General features: G+C 38.0%; 1 protein-coding gene across 58 annotated transcripts in view; it reads right to left on the bottom strand.

The window, feature by feature from the left end:
- SIPA1L1 (signal induced proliferation associated 1 like 1) overlaps nt 1-19,833 on the bottom strand; it is a 420,734-nt gene that overhangs the window by 138,394 nt on the left and 262,507 nt on the right. For 36 of the 58 annotated variants that reach the window (XM_047431217.1, XM_047431229.1, XM_047431218.1 and 33 more), the window contains one exon: nt 13,446-15,245. The exons of 18 other annotated variants lie outside the window; for them this stretch is intronic. In XM_047431217.1, coding sequence (XP_047287173.1) covers nt 13,446-14,943 — 1,498 coding nt within the window. In that variant the 5' untranslated portion in view covers nt 14,944-15,245. Of the gene's footprint in view, nt 1-4,484; nt 4,586-13,445; nt 15,246-15,887; nt 16,519-19,833 lie in introns of those variants that run through there. 4 more of the 58 variants (XM_005267516.5, XM_017021185.2, NM_001284246.2 and 1 more) reach the window with 2 other exon arrangements.

Here is a 19,833-nt window from a genome sequence, read left to right as displayed (position 1 = left end):
TTGCGCTCCTATGAGAATTTAATGCCGACGCTGTTCTGACTAGAGGCAGAGCTTAGGTGATAATGCTGGCTCACCTGCTGCTCACCTCCTGCTGCGCAGCCTGGTTCCTAACAGGCCACAGACCAGTGGTTGGGGACTCCTGAGTTAGAGACTTCAATACCCTACTCTCATCCTTAGACAGATCATCCAGACAGAAAATCAATAAAGAAACACTGAATTTAAGCTACACATTAGACCAAATGGATATAACAGACATTTACAGAATATATTTCATTCAGTAGCTGCAGCATACACATTCTTTTCATCAGCACATAGAACATTCTCCAAGATAGACTGTATGTTAGGACCCAAATAAGTCTCAACAAAACTTTAAAACTTGAAATAATATCAAGTATCTCCTGAGACCACAATGAAATAAAACTAGAAACCAATAATAAGAGAAACTCTATAAACTGTAAAAATAAATAGAAATTAAACAATATGCTCCTGAATGACCACTGGGTCAAAGAAGAAACTAAAAAGAAAATGAAGAAATTTCTTGAAGCAAATGAAAACCAAAAAACAATGTACAAAACCGATGGGATATGGCAAAAACAGTGTTAAGTGATAATTTTATAACAATGAGCAACACATCAAAAATAAAGATTTCAAATAAGCAATCTAATGGTGTACCTCAAGAAACTAGAAGAGTAAGAACAAACCAAATCCAAAATTAGTAGAAGGAAAGAAATAACAGATCACAGAAGAATTAAACAAAATAGAGACTAAAAACACAATAGAAAAAAATCTACAAAATAAAAAGTTGTTTTTTTTGAAAAGACAAATACAATCAATAAACCACTTGGTAGGATAACCAAGAAAAAAAAAGGGAGAAGACCAAAATAAAATCAGAAATGAAAAAAAAGACATCACAACTGATAACTACAAAAATACAAAAGATCAGAGGCACTAACAAACTAAAAAACGTACAGGAAATGGATGAGTTCCTGGACACATACAACCTATCAAGATCAAATCCAGAAGACGTAGAAAATCTGAAGAAAACAATAACAAGTTATAAGATCATGCAGTAATAAAAAGTCTCCCAATAAAGAAGAGTCTAGAACCCAATGGCTTTGCTGTTGAATTCTATCAAACTTATAAAGAATACAAATTCTCCTCAAAGTATTCCAAAAAACTGAAGAAGATGGAATTCTACCTAACTCATTCTATGAGGTCAGCATTACCCTGATACCAAAACCAGATAAGGACACAACAAAAAAAGAAAACTGCAGGTCAGTATTCCACATGAACATACATGCAAAAATGTTCAACAAAATATGAACAAACTGAATCCAACAACACACCAAAGAAATAATACACCATAACCAAGTGGGATTTATCTCAGAGATGCAAAGATGGTTCAAAATATGCAACTCAATAAGTATGACATATCACATCAACTGAATGGAGGACAAAAACCATATGACCATCCCAATACACATAAAATTGTTTGGTAAAATTTTGCATCCCTTCATGATAAAAACTCTCAACAAACTAGGCATAGAAGAAACAGACCTCAACATCATAAAGGGCATATATGACCAACCCACAGCTAACATCACAATGAATGGGGAAAAGCTGAAATCCTTTCCTCTAAGAATTGGAACAAGACAAGGATGTCTACTTTCACCACTCCAATACAGTATTGGAAGTTCAAGCCAGAGCAATCAGGTAAAAGAAAGAAAGAAAAGGCATCTAAATCGGAAAAGATGAAGTCAAACCGTCCCTCTATGCTGATGATATAATCTTATATCTAGAAAAAACTTAAGTCTGCACCAAAAAAATCTTAGATCTGGATCATTAAATTCAATAAAGTTGCATTATACAAAATCAACATCAACATAAAATTCAGTAGTGTTCCTTTACACCAATAACGAATTAGTTGAGAAAGAAATCAAGAAGGCAATCCCATCTACAACAGAAACAAAAACAAAAACAAAAAACAAGAAAAGAAAAATACCTAGGAATAAATTAAACCAAAGTTGTAAAAGATCTCTATAAGGAAAACTACGAAACACTGTTGAACGAAATTGAAGAATACACAAACATGTCCCATGCCCATTGATTGGAAGAATTATTATCATTAAAATGACAACATTTTACAGATTCAGTGCAAATCCTCATTCAAAATATCAATGTCATTCTTTGCAGAAATAGAAAAAACATCCTAAAATTCATATGGAACCAAAAAAGAGGCAGAAGAGACGAAACAATCCAGAGCAAAAAGAATGAAGCTGGAAACATTATATTACCTGACTTTAAAACATATTACGATGCTACAGTAATCAAAACAGCATGGCATTGGTCTAAAAACAGACACAAAGACCAATGGAACAGAATCCAGAATACAGAAAAATTCATATATTTACAGCCAACTAATTTTTGACAAAGGTGTCAAGAACACACAATGGGGAAAGGACACCCTCTTCCCCTCTTCAATAAATGGTGCTGGGAAAATTCTACAATCCTGTCTCTCGCTATATACAAAATCAACTGAAGATGGATTAAAGACATAATAAACATATGACCTGAAACTATAAGGCTACTAGAAGAAGGCAAAGGAGAAATGCTCCAGGACATTGGTTTAGGCAAAGACTTTATGGCTAAGACCTGAAAAGCACAGGCAACGAAAACAAGAATAGACATATGGGACTATACTAAAGTAAAAAGCTTTTGTACAGCATAAGAAAGAATCAAAAGAGTGAAGAAACCATGAGTTTAATGGGGTAAAATATTTCCAAATTCTTCATCTGACAAGGGACTAATATCCAGAATACACAAGGAACTCAACAGTAAAACAAAAACAAAAAACAAATAATCCTATTAAAACAAGTATGAATAAACATTTCTGAAAAGAATACACACATATGGCCAATAGGTATATAAAAAAAAATGCTCAACATCACTAATTATCAGAGGAATGCAAAGCAAAACCACAATGAGATAATCATCTTATCCCAGTTAGAATGGGTATTATTAAAAAGACAAAAAGACAACAGATGTTGGTGAAGATGCAGAGAAAAGGGAACTCATACACTGTTGATGGATTAATACAGCCACTATGGAAAACAGTATGGAAAAAAACTAAAAACAGAATTACCACACAGTCCAGCAATCACTACTGAGTATTTATCCAAAGGAAAATAAATCAACATATCAAAAGGATACATACACTCACGTGTTTATTGCAAAACTATTTGCAATAGCAAAGATATGGAATCAACCTACATGTCCATCAATGAATGAATGATGAAAATGTGGTATGTATACACAACAGAACATTATTTGGTGATTAAAAAAAAAAAAAAAAAAAGAATGAAATCGCCCAGCGTGGTGGCTCATGCCTGTAATCTCAGCACTTTGCGAGGCCGAGGCGGGTGGATCACTTGAGGTTGGATCATGTTGAGACCAGCCTGATCAACATGGAGAAACCCCGTCTCTACTAAAAATACAAAATTAGCCAGGCATGGTGGCGCATGCCTGTAATCCCAGCTACTCGGGAGGCTGAGGCAGGAGAATCACTTGAACCTGGGAGGCAGAGGTTGTGGTGAGCCGAAATCGTGCCATTGCACTCCAGCCTGGGAGACAAGTGCAAAACTCCATCTCAAAAAAAAAAAAAAAAAAAAGAATGAAATCATGTCATTTGCAGCAACATGGATGGATGGAACTGCAGATCATTATGTTAAGTGAAATAAGCAAGGCACATAAAGACAAATATTGCATGTTTTCAGGCACATGTGGGAGCTAAAAGACTTGATTTCATGGAGGTAGAGAGTGTAACGATAGATATCAGAGACCAGGAAGGGTGTGTAGGTGGAAGTGGGGGAGGATGAAGAGAGGGTGGTTAATGAGTACAAACAGTTAGACAATAAAAGTTCTAATGCTCAATAGCACATTAGAGTGACTATAGTTATTAGCAACGATCTACTGATATATTTCAAAATAGCTAGAAGAGAGGCCTTGAAATGTCCCCAACACATAGAAATGATACTCAAGGTGATGGATATCCTCCCTCACAAATAAAACTGGGAAATTAACATTGGTGCAATACCATTAACTAAAGTTCTTATTCGAATTTCACCAGTGTTTCCACTATGTGCAATCCCCCCAATCCCATTCAGAATCCCATGTTGCATTTTGTTGTTATGTCTTTTTAATCCCCTATAGATTCTAAGAGTTCCTTAGTCTACTTGTCTTCCATGACCTTGACAGCTTTGAAGAGTATTTATCTCTCAATTTGGGTTTGTCTGATAGTTTCAAGTGATTGGGCTGGGGTTGTGCCTCTTGGGCAAGAGGACTACAGAAATGATGTGTCCTTCTCAGTGCGTCCTGAGGTTCATAACAACCTTGATTCACTTAGGTAAGGCTGTGTCTGCCAGGTTTCTCCACCATAAAGTTACTATCTTTCCTCCTGTAGTTTACGAATGTCTTAAGGGAGATACCTGGAGATCATGCAAATCCTGCTTCTCCTCCCATTTCTCCTGAAACAGTCATTCACTGATTTTAGCTTCCATCAGTTGTGTCCAGTAAAGTTTACAATAGTAAAAATCAGTCTCTGTGATGGCGTTTTGTGCCTGTGGGGATCAATTGGTGGTCTTGGTAACCACCATGACCACACACAGACCTGTCTGTAATGTCATTTCCTGAAAAGAGAGGAAGAGGAACTGCAACATATTATTCAGTGTCTGGAGTATAACACAAGGCCATATACACAGACGGCTTCCTCTACCTTTTTCTTCCTGATGCTATGAATACAAGACATATTGGCTCCTCAACTCAATAAATTTTAGGCCTTGTTCAGCAACAAACATTCATTCATTTGTAAAACCTGACCTTCTATTCTGTGGCCCTTACCTTCAAAGCATGCTTAGGCTGGCTGTGAATTAATGCAGCATAGAAATCATCATGCAGAACAAGAGGTGCTAGGGTGGGTCAGGTCAGTGGTGGGAGAGCATCTAAACCTTGCAGGAGAGGGGTTCAGAGGGTTGCATAACCCTGGAGGACAGGCAGGAGCCTGTCAGGTAGGCAAGAGAGGAAAGGAAGAGTAACCTATTCCAGTGTATACCCTGAGGCAGGGGAAGGAAACTCAGCTCCATGCAAGAGTGGAACATGATAAAACCCTTCTAATTTTGACACACATGTGGGTTTCTATCGTGCAGCCTGATCATTGCTCCTTTACTCCACAGGGACACCTTCCTATACAAGGTTACACTACTTCTCCTATGTAAGAAGAGATCAGCTGGGGAGCTGCAGGGGAACCCAAGCCATTTACAATAAGCCACCTCAGCATTTATTCATAAATGTGATAAAGATCACTGGACAACTAACAGCATGAAGAAGAAAAAACAAGAAAAATAAGAAAAGTAAAATATACAAACAGGAAGATACAGGTTACTCAAGAAAAAGAACTTAGAAAAAAATCTTAATTAATACCAATAGAGAAATGGGAGGGGAGGTTATATAAGAAAAAACGATTATGAAAGATAACTATAAGGCGGGTGCAGTGGCTCACGTACATAATCTCAGCTCTTTGGGAGGCTGAGGTGGGAGGATTGCTTGAGCCCAGGAGTTTGAGACCAGCCTGGGTGACATGGTGACACCACATCTCTACAAACAAACAAAAAAAATCTAAAAAAATTAGCCAGGCGTGATGATGCACGCTTGTGATCCCAGCTGTTGAGGAGGCTGAGATGGGAGGATCCCTTGAGCCCAGGACTTTGAGGCTGCAGTGAGCCATAATCACGCCACTGCACTCCAGCCTGTGACAGTGGAAGACCCTGTCTAAAAACAAAAAAAATATGAGTTATTGGGGGATTAAAAATATGACTGCTAAAAATAAAATTCACTGAAAGGACTGATAGAACGTACAGAACTACATAGCAACTGCTTGTCATAAGATGAAATTGATGAGTACAGAACAAAAATAAAAAGAAATTGAAATTACAAAAGAGAAAAAAAGGGAAGATAAGTCCAGGGGTTCACCACCCATCAAAACAGAGTTCCAACAAAGGAAGCAAAGAGATTGTAGAAGACTTTTTAAAAAACGTCTGTTTAATAGCTTCCCATTCATCTTAACTGCACTAATTGGAGGCTATAAATACCATGAAGGCAGAGGTGTATCTCTATTTGTTCTCCTCCAGACACTGTATCTGGCACAAAATAGATGCTAAATATTATTTGAATGACTGAACAAATGGACAAATGAGTGAATAAATGTGCAGTTATTTTAATTTTTAAAACTACTTTAAAAAAAATGAAGGTACTCTTAACAATAGTAAATTGGATAATACATTTTTGTATGTTGGTGCAACACTCTGATTTCCCTTCTAGAAAGAACCTGCAACCAGTTCGGTCACAAGAAATAGGATTAGTTAAAAGTCTCTGGATGCAGTGCCTTCAAATCTACTACAATTTTTGAGCTGGGCCACACTCCTCCTGGGCAGCCCCTAGTCAATAGCTGAGCATGCTGGGGTAACAGGACCTGGCTATTACTCCCCAACAAGGAGTAATGCTCTAGTAATGCTTCTCTAATGCTCATTTTTGACCCTTTGCATTGACTGACACTTTGTCAGACCTGCATCACGGTCTGAGGCTCTCCCTGCCTAATCTTCCTTTGTCTCCTCTTTCCTTTGAAGGACTGAAGCCTTTCTCTGCGAAATTATCTTTCACAGACCTAAGTTACTCTCATCCAAGCCCCTAACCACTTGCAGTCCTGTATAGTCTCAGCATCTGCCTCTCAGATGACCCACATGTTTGTTACATGATTGAATAAAGGACTATCTGGCAAAGACAAAAGGTTAGATTTTGAGCAGGGTAGACTATAAAGGGACTAAGAAACCTAGAATTTGGGTAAGAAGCATGAGGCCCTGAAGTTACATAAAGAATTGGGAATGGGACAGAAGGAACAGAAGTTACCTGCAATTTGAAGGTAGACTAGAGATCGTAGGTTGAACACAATGAAGATAAAGGAGGCATCAAAGAAGCTTTAATTTACAGAAGGAGAGCAATGATGAGGAGGGGAAAAAATGGTGAACTCCAAATCTCTCTGCACATGGGTTACAGATGCCAATGAGGTAGCCATCTGGGTAGAGGCAGATTAACAGCTGGTGAGAAATGCAGCCGGAACTAAGGAGAAAGCCTGGGGACAAAGGCGTTTTATTTGGATATAAATGTAGGCTAATCATCTTTTTCCAAAAAGAATTGAGGTCATTAATGATACAGGATATATATAAATCATGCTAATGAAACAGAATAGGAAAATAAAAGATGAAAGTGGAAGCAGATGTGTTAATAATCAAAGCTGTATAGTTGAGCATCAAATTTGGTTCTGGGAGTTGAAGTAAAACTAGACATACAGTGAAACAAAACACACACACAAAATACCTATCATCAGAAAGGCAGGCATTTGGTAGCTACCGGTTTCAACTTCTGGCATCAAATTCTAAAATAAATTTTTCACGTGAACTTTCTAAAGGGGCTGATGAATGACACAATGAAAATGTCTTCATCACCAGCTTTACTGCAAAACAAACTCTGTTTTTATATGACTGGCTCTTAAAAAGATGACCTTTAATAAAGTCAAGTGTTGAACTAGTGTGGTCTTTGATGGCCTATCTTGATTTTAAAATAAAACACATGTAGGAGCAGTTGAAGCCCACGCCCTTTTAAGCAGCTTCCAAAAACCTCTGGCTTGAGAGGCTCAGGCACTGTGAAAGCCTTCCAGATCAGGGTGCAGCTGAGCCACGCTTGCAGCTGAGCCACGCTGGGACTTTGAGATCACAGTGAAGAAAAGAGAGGACCTCTGCTTTCCAAAGAGCAAACACACAAAACCACAATACCTACTACTAGCTTTCTTGCTTCTGGAAGCCCTGAGCAGATAAAAGGACAGCAGCAAAACACACTCCTAGCTTAGCTTCTCAGGAAGGCATTTAGTGCCTCAAATCTCCCTGTGAGGGAATACATAGAGAGCTACCTTCGAATGAATTACATAGATTATATATAAATAGAGTGTTTAAAAATGAAACTACATTGAAAAATACTTCAATAAAAACATGAAAGGCAAGGGCATTAAAACAATTATTATATATGTATAAAAACTTTCACCATTCAATTCATTTTGGCAGAAAATAACTGCTAAATTCAACAGCGTAGAACACAACATGGTTCAGCAGAACAGACTCATTGACCTTGGAGTTTACCATTTATCTGAAATCTAAAACTGTCCACATCAAAAAACTAGAAGTAGAATAATTATATTTAAAGAACACTGAATTGTAAGGCATTCTATGGTACTTTTCTCAAGCCTAATATTTACATAGCAGAAGGATTTTTTAAAAAGCAAAAAAAACTGAATAAACAAAATAAGCACACAATTTTAGAAATATATTTAGCTAATCATATTCCCTGATGTTCTATATGCACTAAAAAATAATCCACTAAAATTTATAACAGCTATTTAATGATGCTTATTTGACAGACTGGAACTTGAAAAACAGCTCTTGATAGCAAAATTGAGAGTATATGAGAGTGCTAAAGCTGTAACTTTAGTACAAATCAAGATAAGTGTGGTATTCTAAAGAAACTATGTTAAAGATGGCTGATTACAAGAGGGTGAGAGGTAAAGACAGAAAACAGCAACTGAAATGTGCTTTGTCTCCTCAATCACTGTTCAACCTGATTTGTATGTGTTTTGGAATGGAGGAGGAGGAGAAGGAAGGTGAACAGTAAGAACAATCAAATCTGGTGGCTTACAGTTATCCAAAGAATATTTAGGTGCATAAGCATTAGTCGTCCCTCTTTTAAGGAATGGGAAAATACTCTTAGATGCGCTTCAGACCAGATACTGTGTTTCTCCTGGGCAGTGTGCAGTAGAGGGAGGCCCTTCCCTATCACAGCATCTTCAGTAACTTGACTTTGAGAGTAACACTCCACCTACCATGAAGACAAGCCTATCAACACTGTTGATCAGTGGAGCAACAAATGCCACTGCCAAGAGCCCATGGGCTCCTCTGTCTTCATTAATGCATTCCTCTCTATAGGATTCAAGGAGAACACACTTCATAGACAATTATACACTCGGTGCAAAATTGAAGAAGTCCTGTGGGGCCACAGAAACCAAGATGAGTAATGGCTTGGAAAGGGTCTCCTCCTCAACAAGCTATGCAGGATATAGGCAACATTATAATTATTCTATAACTTAGTATTTTCCACTTATAAATTTCCTTAGTACTCTGATCATGGTGACTATCTAAATGAAAACAAAAGGCCAGGTACGGTGGCTCACGCTTGTAATACCGCACTTTGGGAGGCCAAGGCAGGCAGATCACTTAAGGCCAGGAGTTTGAGACCAGCCTTGCCAACGTGGTGAAACCCCATCTCTACTAAAAATACAAAAATTAGCTTGGCACAGTGCTGCACACCTGTAATCCCAGCTACCTGGGAGGCTGAGGCACGAGAATCGCTTGAATCCAGGAGGCAAAGATTGCAGTGAGCGGAGATCGTGCCACTGAACTCCAGCGTAGGTGAGAGAGTGAGACTCTGTCTCAATAAATAAATAAATAAATAAATAAATAAATAAATAAATAACACAAAACACATACATACTCAAAGGAAGATAAGTAATTCAGGTTAATCTGAATGCAGCCCTACTGCCTAGTCTGTGCCTCCATAAGGAGGATGTGGCTATCACTTGGACTTCTATCACCAGTACAGATCCACCTTAATGTCCAATGGGCATTAAGTGAGGAACTCAATAAAGTACAAAGAAGTAACATGATGCATGTTAGCTATATTATTACTGTCATTTAATCCTGGTTCTCAATATAAACATACACTCACTAGCAAAATGGCAAAGAGAAGTGGGCATGAGAAAGGACTGGAAAGAAAAGCATCAATGGCATGTTGCTTATTTTACTAAATACAAACAATGGGATTCCTCTACTGATCCAGTATTTTTCCAGCAATGGACCTGGCTTCTATGTTGGACTAAAATAGCCTCTGAAGTCTAAATTTGTAAAATAATGTTTATAAAAACAACATAATAATAAAGTGATTATAGCTTCATCAGCCAAATATGATTTTTACATATAATATCAGCTGTATAGCATACTTTAGTAAAGTACTCCCCCTCCACCCCCTCCCCACCTGAGACTTAGCCACAGTGAAGTCAGGAATGCATTAGGCAGCCAAATGGAAACTACCCGGTGATAAGCGGCTGAGTGACAGCCAGGTCAGCTCTGCCACACCTTGGTGCTAGAGGATAAATTACATCTGACACTGATGTACTCCTTCAACAAGAAGACTTGCTTTAAGGTTCTGATTAGGAAAAATGAGTTAGTCTGCTAATTTCAGTGAATCAAAGTTGTCTATTATAAGACAGAGTTGTTTGTTTAGATATGTTTTATACTATATAAAAGTATAAACAACAATTTTTAAAATGTACAGTTTATACTTTACAGAGCTTAATTTCTGCTCCAAATTTTGTTATCCAGAGCCACTATTTGTGGTATATTATCATACTGTAACAAATTGCCTGTCTGACTTGAAAGTTGTGTGGCCCAAGAAAAGCTCTTACAGTAACCACTCTGTGTAACTGACTTCCACTGAACAACTTCCTGGATTAACCACTGCTCATAATTTCCCTGCAAACCATGCTGACAAATACCCAATGGCACTAGCAGTCTAGTGGGTGATCCCTAGGTGCCATACATACTTTCTGTTCCTGCCAGCTGGACCTCATGCTGACAAAGAGTGAGCTGTTTATACCAATTGACTTGCTATTTTAATTATGAAATTTAATCATGAAAGCTGATGAAATATGAGTACAAAAGATAAACGTTGTTCCTATTAAAAACTAAGGCTTTATACAAACTTAATAAAGGCAAGTCATTAAAAAGAAAGCTGTTGGATTAAATGTGGGCAGGACAGCTATGAAAAAATGAGAAAAAATTTATGAAATCTAAGATTTTGTACTCAGATTATGTTGTTAGTCTCTATGTTTTTATTCTTATGGTTTAGCCTATTAACACAATTAAGAATTTAAAAGAGTAGAATCATTGTCAAAGAAAAGCCCTTGGTCTCACAAGAGTTTGGCAAACATATTCTTATATGTGTTAATGATAATAAAACAGTTTGAATGTATACTTTTTAACAATTCCCTGCTTGAGTTGATATTTTCAATTCACTAGTTCCAATTATGCTGGGTAAAAGGGTATTTTCCATGCTTCAAGTTAGTAACTACTGGATTAGTGGGTATTAGATTTATGAGGTTATTATGAACAAACAGGATTAATCTGGAATCTAGGCATTCACATTTTTATTCCAGACTTTTGAAAGATAAAATACTTTAAGATTCTCCATCTCTTTAACCTAGCAGAGATCAGAGAACAGTGATTAAGAACATGACTCTGTTCAGACAGCCTGGCTCCAACATTTACTAGCTCCATGAGAGTCTTATCACTTAAGCTCCAGTTTTCTCAACTGGAAAATAAGGTTAACAATAGTACCTACCTTCCTGGGCATCAAGAGATTGAAATGAGAAAATGTGGCATAGCAAATGCCTAGTACAGTGCCTGGTACACAGTAAGTACCCAAAATGTTCATTATTATAATAATATTATTATACTGCCTAATAGGAAAAAAGTACCCATTATTACATAAATTAGATTATAACTAATATGTTTCAGTGTCAGTTTTGGGTGGAGGCCATTTTGCCTCCACCTATCGACAGCTCAGACACACCTGCAGAAAATTTGCACAGGTACAGTAAAGCAGGGGTTCTCAGCTAGGGGTTAGTTTACCTCTTAAGAGACATTTGGCAATGCCTGAAGACATTTTAGGCTGTCACAACTAGAGGGAGGAGGAAAACCTACTGGCATTAATAGTGTGGAAGCCAGGGATGCTGCTAAGCATCCTACATCCTACAATACACAGGACAGCCCCCTACTCCACGCTACCCCAACAAAGAATCATCGCACCCCCAAATGCCAAGTTGGCAAGAATGAGAAACCTTGTACCTTAAAGGACAGTGTAACAGAGATGTAATTTCTAAAATATAAACTTCAGAAAATTATTCTGAGAAGATAAATGTTTAAAAATGACATCAGGGTATGCAATACATATTGATTCCAAGACCCACGCTATAGATATGTAGGAATGAGACATGGATGTTTAGTCACGAGACAAGATTGTTTCCGTCAACAAGCCTTCTGGAATGGGACCTATCATGTAGTAATATTAAGATATGCTTTATTCTAAAGCAATTGTTATAAAGCTATGAGTACTATATTTGAAACTAAACTTCACTCATAATTTTAAATACCATTCAATAATTTTAAATAATTTTAAATACCATTCAAAACCCCAAAACAGTGGAAATCAAAACACTGTGAGAATAGCTTGCAGACAGGGAGCCTCTCGCCACAGGCCTCTTCACTTGGCTACAGAGATGACCAATCTAGCTAATGGAACACAGAGGTATGTCCTTCGTGGGTAAGCATCCTGTTTCCTCGTTTGTCTACCTGGATGACTTAAACTCATTCCTTAATTAACGCTGCTCAAAAAGCTTGTAAGGGTTCACTTATACTACTTACTTTTCGGTAAATCACAATGGTCTTTCTTAAAAGTATGAGATAAAACTGTGTATAATCTCAAATATATATGTGTGTATATATGTGTGTATATATGTGTGTGTGTGTACATATATATATATATATATATATATATATATATTTTTTTTTTTTTTTTTTTTTTTTACTCTCCCACTCAAAGAAAAGATTAGAAAGGAAGTGGCCCTTATGTCAAAGGTACTTCTCTCTTCAGTGCCTTTTCTACTCAAAGACCGAGATTTGATTCTTGGCACTGAGACTTATTGGCTCTGTGACTTTTGTCAAATAATGTAATTTGTTTTCACAATACTTCCTGTAAATGGACAGGAATATATTATAATTACCACCTACTGATGACAACATTGAAGCAGCAAAGAAATGATTCCTGTACTTACTGTGGAAGTGATAAAAAATGAAAGTAGCATTAAAACTGTTTTGCAATCCTTAAACAACAGCTATATTTCAAATATTTTCAACTTGGTATATTTATCCCTAAAGGTGACACAGCAAATCTACTGTACAACAAAGACTATAATTTCAATCGCTAAGTCAAAGGGGCTTTTTATTTGTAAAAGTACTATTTAACATACAAGACATTTATATATCTGAAAGGAGAAAGTAACTCAAAAAATGCAAAAAGAAATAAATTGAGCAAATGGTTATTTAGCTATTTTACCATCAAGAAAGATAAGACATGCAAATCTTATGTCACATTGTTAATAAATATCTTAATATACAGTACTTTTCTTCAGAAAGTACTGCAAAAGAAAATGTAAGAAATAAAGGATCTCTACTTACCCTTCTGGTAGAAAAATTTTCTATAATAGTATGCACCCAGATCTACGTGTTCCACGATGTATCTTTTCACTCTATCTAGGTGCAACACCAAGTTCTCCTTGGGCACTTCAAGTACTGCCACTCCTGCATTTGTGCAATGGGAACTAAGGGTAGACTCAAAGGAGGCACTTTCACATCCACTAAAGGAGCCAGAATTTGATTTTGAAAGGCTGATTTTCCTCTCCCCTTCTCCACCTATCTCATTCCGAAAATATGGACAGCTCATTACAAGCTCATTGCTTTTATCATCTCCCTGGTCCATGCTGAGGCTTCCTTTGGAATTCAGGTCCTCTGTGCTGCCCATTGGGGAGCTAAAACTGGCTGAATGAGACAGAGGTCCAGAGACCAAGGATGCCACGGCAGCTGCGGAAGCTCCAGTGGTGGTGTTTCTCCTCTTAATAACATTGTGCCTGTTCATAATTGCCTCATTCAAATCAAATAATATACTCTGGACATCATAGTGGGCAAAGCACTTTGGACATGTCCAGGGCCTGACAGAGTCTTCTGATCGGTTATCTTCAAGATCTGATGACTTCCCAAGTTCTTCACCTTTGGCATTGCGCAATTTACGAAAAATAGATGAGTCTCCAGTTTCAGATTTTGAACGTCGCTTGAGTGGTTTTTCCCTTTCCTTAAAAAGCCTGAGGTTCTCTCTCTGTGAGATAGGCCCGTCTATTACATCCAAAGAGAAACCAGAACCCTTGCCACCACCAGTAATGAGAAAGTCACTGAGCTTGGTTGGAGTTGGACCTCGATCAGATTTGTCATCTTTGTAGCCCTTTAACAAATCAAAAAAGCTTTCTCCAGATGTTCCCTGTTTATCAATTGAAGATGTGCTACCATATTCCCTGTGCAGTGATGGTCCAGTCTTGTATGTAGGTGAGATACATTCATCAAAGCTATCCACATCAAGTTCACTTATGGTGATATCACTGTTGCTTCGCTGGCGTATTCTGCGAAGAGCTTTTCTGGGGGAGCTGGGGTAGGCTTCAGGCATGAGAAATCTGGAGTCCATGTTCTCCGACGGTCTTGTCTTGTTTTTCAGCGTGTTCTGTATGCTTTTCAGCATGGCTGAGTCATTGGAATTGAGGCTAACAGAACTTCCCTGACTCACAGGACTGCTTTTGGAGGACAGGCTATCAAGGCAACTTGAGGTTTCTATTTCCTGGCTTGAACGGCTAGATTCTTTTATGTTTTCCTTTCTTGGGGGCCAATCTGCAATCCTTGCCCTTACCCCCATTTTTGGGACTCCGGGGGTTGAGGTTATATGGTGAGAACCTTCACTTCGGGGGGGTCCTACAGGAGCCATAACTGATGATCCTAAGCTGCCATTTTGGGACCGGAAGCGCCGCATGTAGAAATCATCAGTGTGGACTTTGGGGGTGCCGTCTGTGCCAACAACAGAGGCCCTGTCAGTGGCAAGAGGCCTTTCTGTCTGTGACCGTTTCAAGCTGGTCATGATGTAAAAGCAAGTAGACTTAAATCCCTGCAGCAAGGACCATCATATCTGTGTTTTAAATGTGCACTTCCCTTTTGGAGAATGGCTTCCAGAAAATACAACAGTTGCATGAGATCTTAATCTTTTTCATTTAAAAGGTTAAATGATGCTTTATTTGTAAAGCACTGAAAAATTGGAACTTCTAAACGTTATAATCCACAACAGTTTCTTTGCTTCACTTTAACAGAGGGCTTTCTTTCAGAAAAAACTGAATGGAACTTGTACTACTGAGATTCTGTGGTTGCCATAATCCCATGCTTTCTCTAAAAGAGAAAAGGATAATTTGAATTAGCAGATAAATACATCTAAAAACAAACATGCAATTGTCAAAACCAGACACATGAAGATAAAAGACTCAATAATGGATTAGGATTCACAGTTCCACAATCCGTATTTTTAGTAAAGCAGGTTTGAAAGAAAGGAAGAAAGTAAAAACCATTTGATAAAATCCATAATTTATATTCTAAAAAAAAAAACTATTAAGACTTCATCTTAATTGAACTGTTTCATAAAATGGGGGGCAGGGGGAGGGGTACATCTTGTTCTGGATATCATGGCTCCTACCCAAAGTACAGACTTTTGCTCCAATGACCTCTAAAAATGTAGAACATCATGAGCTACTGTGATGACCAGAAGTTTGAGATGTAACCAAGTGAATAAGATAATTAGAGCAACAGAGTTTTTTGACAAAAGTAAAAACTGAAAAATGACTTTACTGAATATGCTGCAACAATCACTTTTTAACTCCTCTATTCCAAAATCAATACATGTTTTTTGTTTCCTTACAAAGGCTTAACATAGTTGGCAAAAACAAATACAGCAGGAAAAAATAAATAAAAAGAGTTTTCCCAGAGCCATTATATCCATTAGCACTCTTTTGTATTTTCCTCTACTTTATTACTTACCGAGACGAGGATATTGCAGAATGAATCCAGCATTCACCACCACCTCTTCCCAAGCTCTCCTTAGTTTCTTGTACTCTTAAAAGCTAGAAGTATCTCACTAATGAACAAAATGCCTGCATTTCCTCATGCAGTACAACCTACTCCACCCCATCAGTGCTAATTTATGAAGACGGCAGAAACAAAACACAGCTCTGGGTGGCCCTCTCCATATCCCCAACAGATTACAGAGAACTGTTAGCATCCTTCCAGGTGACGGGCATGGAAACAAACTTCCTCATGAGCACGTCAGGCAGAAGGCAGGAGACACAGATTCTGAGTACAAAATTCTGCATGGTTGCGTACATTCTGAAAAGAAAGGCAGAGGCTCCTTTTCCAAGACTCCACAAATTACACAAGAGGTGGCCTTTAAATTCTTGCCAAATACATGTTTGGAAAGATGCTGCTGAACCAGCACTGAGCTGACAGGGCGGCATTGTCTACAAATCACGGCTCTGACACCGGAGGACGACCTGCACTTGCTGCACTCTCCACTCAATGGTAACAAGCACCTACTTCCACGATAATTAAGCATCTCCCTAGTCGGCTTCCTGCCTCCAAGGCAGGCGCTTTCATTTCTCTTGCAGCACACAGCATCACTTTAGAAGACTCGCTGCTATTTAAAGGCTGGAACATGTAGGGGTGTTTCAAAAAAAAAAAAAAAAAATGCATGCTGCCTGCAGAATGCAGGGTGAGGCGAGCTCTGGCTGGGCTCGTGCTGGCTGAGTCTGTGGAGCCATTCAGATAAATGCCATTTGTTTTCACTAGCACTCCTCTTCACCATCTTTTGTAAAAGGGATAATAGTTTTGCACTGCTACCTAATTAAACATGGCTTTTGAGCTTTCTAGATACTTCTACTGTCAGACTGCTATTATTCCCTTTACATTCCAGAACTTTACATGTTCCTCTTTCAATGATAACCCTTCAAGTGACAAAACATGCTAACTGTTGCTTCCGAGGATATCAAAGGACAGCATATATGGCCATAGCAAAGGTTCAAGAAGTGATTCTCATAAAATGGAAGGAAAATTGAACAACTGAACCAAAATGCAAACACCTGTTCAACATCTCCCCAAAAGCTGATTATTTCAATGAATACTCTACATAGCATAAATAATACTTCTAAAGTAGATTTTATAAAAATTAGATGCTTTCAACATTTCTCACAACCTCACAGAAATCCAAATAAATCATCTTTCATTCCCCAAACATTCATTCTCTAAAAGGACAACACACCAATCCCACCATGATAAAAACTCTTGCCACATTTCATGTGCCTTAGAAAATACTTTACTGCACAGCTGTCTTTCCCAGGATATGTGAAGTTATTTCCATTAGAGGAGGAAACTAAAAGCTGGCAGTAAAATACAAGAAATAAAACTGACTTGGAAATGCTCAGTCTCCACCATCAGTATTTCTCTTCCAAACCATCTCATATACTTCCAATATTTTTAATGAGTTTATAAAATCTTATTTTTAAATATAAAAATTTCTTACCAATTCAAAAGAAATTTCAAGACTCCCATTACATTATATAACAACGACTCAATGTTTTCTTTTCATTTCAAAATATAAATAAGCACATGGGAGAGAGAGAAGCCACGTTTTAATGGCTTGTAAAAACTGATGAGGTTCGAGATGGGCAATTATGTTAAATAACAGATTTTTTTTCAGTCATAAGGACCTTCCTTTTCTATGTTTTTTTTTTCTCCCTCTCATTTTCCATCTCCCTCCCTCCCTCCCTCCCTTTTCTCATTCTTATTTATAGCATCAAACCCCTTTGGGGTACAATATAAACTTTGGGCACTGACTAGCATATATGGAAATATACATGCTTTGCACTTATTAAACTACCAGTCAAAAATAATGCTGTCCATCGATGTGTATCATATGATGACAGATCAATAATACCTTCACATCTATTCCTTAGGGTTGACTGAAACAGCAAACCTATGTTGACAATGATCAGCAACTCTCTTAAATATCAGCAAACCTGCCTAAGTACCAATATGGTAAAAAGCAATAGAATTAAACAGAAGAGCAATACGAATTCACAGCATGTCACCTCCATCTGTTGAAAGAGCAGGCTATATAAAAATTTTCCTTATTACATGTTTAATTTTACAGCTCTAGATACTATCTAAGTCTATGGTAGATCCAGGTAGCTAGAATACTAATTCCATCTAGAGGGCCCACAGTTTAGTTCAATGAGTTCAATTCAACTAGTTGAAAGTCTTTTCATCACTCAAGATCTCTCACAACCTAACCCACCATTCTTCCAGAAGAAATGCTTCCTCCTCTCATCCAAATCACCCCCTGTGTTTCTGTAGTGTCTTCAGAGCATGGACCATACATCCACCAGTCCCTCCTTCAAGGAAAGCTCCAGGTGTAGCAGGGAGACACAGACAAGTAAGAAGATGACGGGGGATGCATGGGTCATGCCTCCTTCCTATACACTTTCCATTTTGATTGTAAGCTCTTTAATAACAGAGCTTACAATCTCCTGCTGGGACTAATTGTACCACAGTAGGTCAGCCATTTAGAATATCAAGTCCCTGAGAATGCTGAAAGCAGAACCTCTTATGGGATCTCTTGATTGCCAAAAATCCCTTGTCATTCTGGCTCTGTGAAGCATCTGTACTCCTGAACCCATCCTCCATCCTGAACCTCTCTTTTCTGGACCTCTGTGATAACCATGTGCTTCTTCATTTTCTCTTGCCTCTTTTTGCCCACTACTCAGTCTTTAGTTGGGGTCCATTGAAAAGGTGGTGTCTATGGTTTATCTCTCTTGACATTTTTCATATTTCTGGAAAGGGGTATAAAAGGTATTTCTATCAGGATGCATGTGAGCACTGAGTGTATTAGGATGAGACAGAAGCATGGGTCCACTGGAGTAATAATATCACTGTGGAAAGCAGAGTGTTGATTGGGCTGGCTCACATTTGTCTGTGCAGCTGAACAAAGGCAGAATAATTAAGTTACTGGCTGGAAATCTGCATGGCAACCAGTACTCTGTCTGTTGATACTGTAGGTGCCTGCAGCTTTAAATATCATCTCTATGCTGTTACCTCCAAATCTCTGGTCATGATCTTCTCCACTAAACTTCAGATAAAATAGAGGTAGGTGCTCATTTGACATCTTCTTTATTTACCTATTTTACAATGAAATAACCAACAAGCAGAATAATGAAAAAAATTTTTTTTCAAGAAATGATTAAGTGGTAAGGAAGGGAGCACATTCTATTCCTAATTCAAGGAATAGAATGAAAGAAACAACATCGTGCCAAGGGCATAAAGAGCAGTTTAAAGGTTACAAGAAGAAGATGTGGGAAGGGGGTGGGGTTGGGGGAACACTACAGTTCCTGTTGTGAAAGAATTACAGTGCAATATGGTAGGGTCACCAGAAAGATGTAGCGTTCCTCATAAAATACTTCCACATTCCAAAATGAGATCTTCTCAGATTCTTTAACTGGTACAGCCTAAAATACAACGCCAGCTCTCAATGTTTCAGGGCAGTAGAAGGAACTGTGCTGATGAATAACTATTCAAATGCCCCAATAATTCAGAGATATACACTTCAGAAGTATTTATGAAAATTTCCAGGCCCAGCACAGTGCCTTGTGCCTGTAATCCCAGCACTTTAGAAGGCCAAGGCAGGCAGATGGCTTGAGCCCAAGAATTTGAGACCAGCCTAGGTAACATGGTAATACCCAGGCTCTTAAACAAACAACAAAAAAATAGAAATAGTTTTTGAACTTGTAAACACAGACTTAGAATGCCTGTAAATATTCTTACTTCAGAATGTAATAAAACACTATTTAAAAACAGAAATATAACTTCACAGTACTTGAATATTAGATGAGCTAAGATAATCAAATAAGGCAAACTATTTTCTTTACATCCCTTCTTG

Source organism: Homo sapiens, chromosome 14, assembly GCF_000001405.40.
Source record: "Homo sapiens chromosome 14, GRCh38.p14 Primary Assembly".
NCBI classification, from domain to species: Eukaryota; Metazoa; Chordata; class Mammalia; order Primates; family Hominidae; genus Homo; species Homo sapiens.
This window is presented reverse-complemented; position numbering and strand designations above follow the sequence as displayed.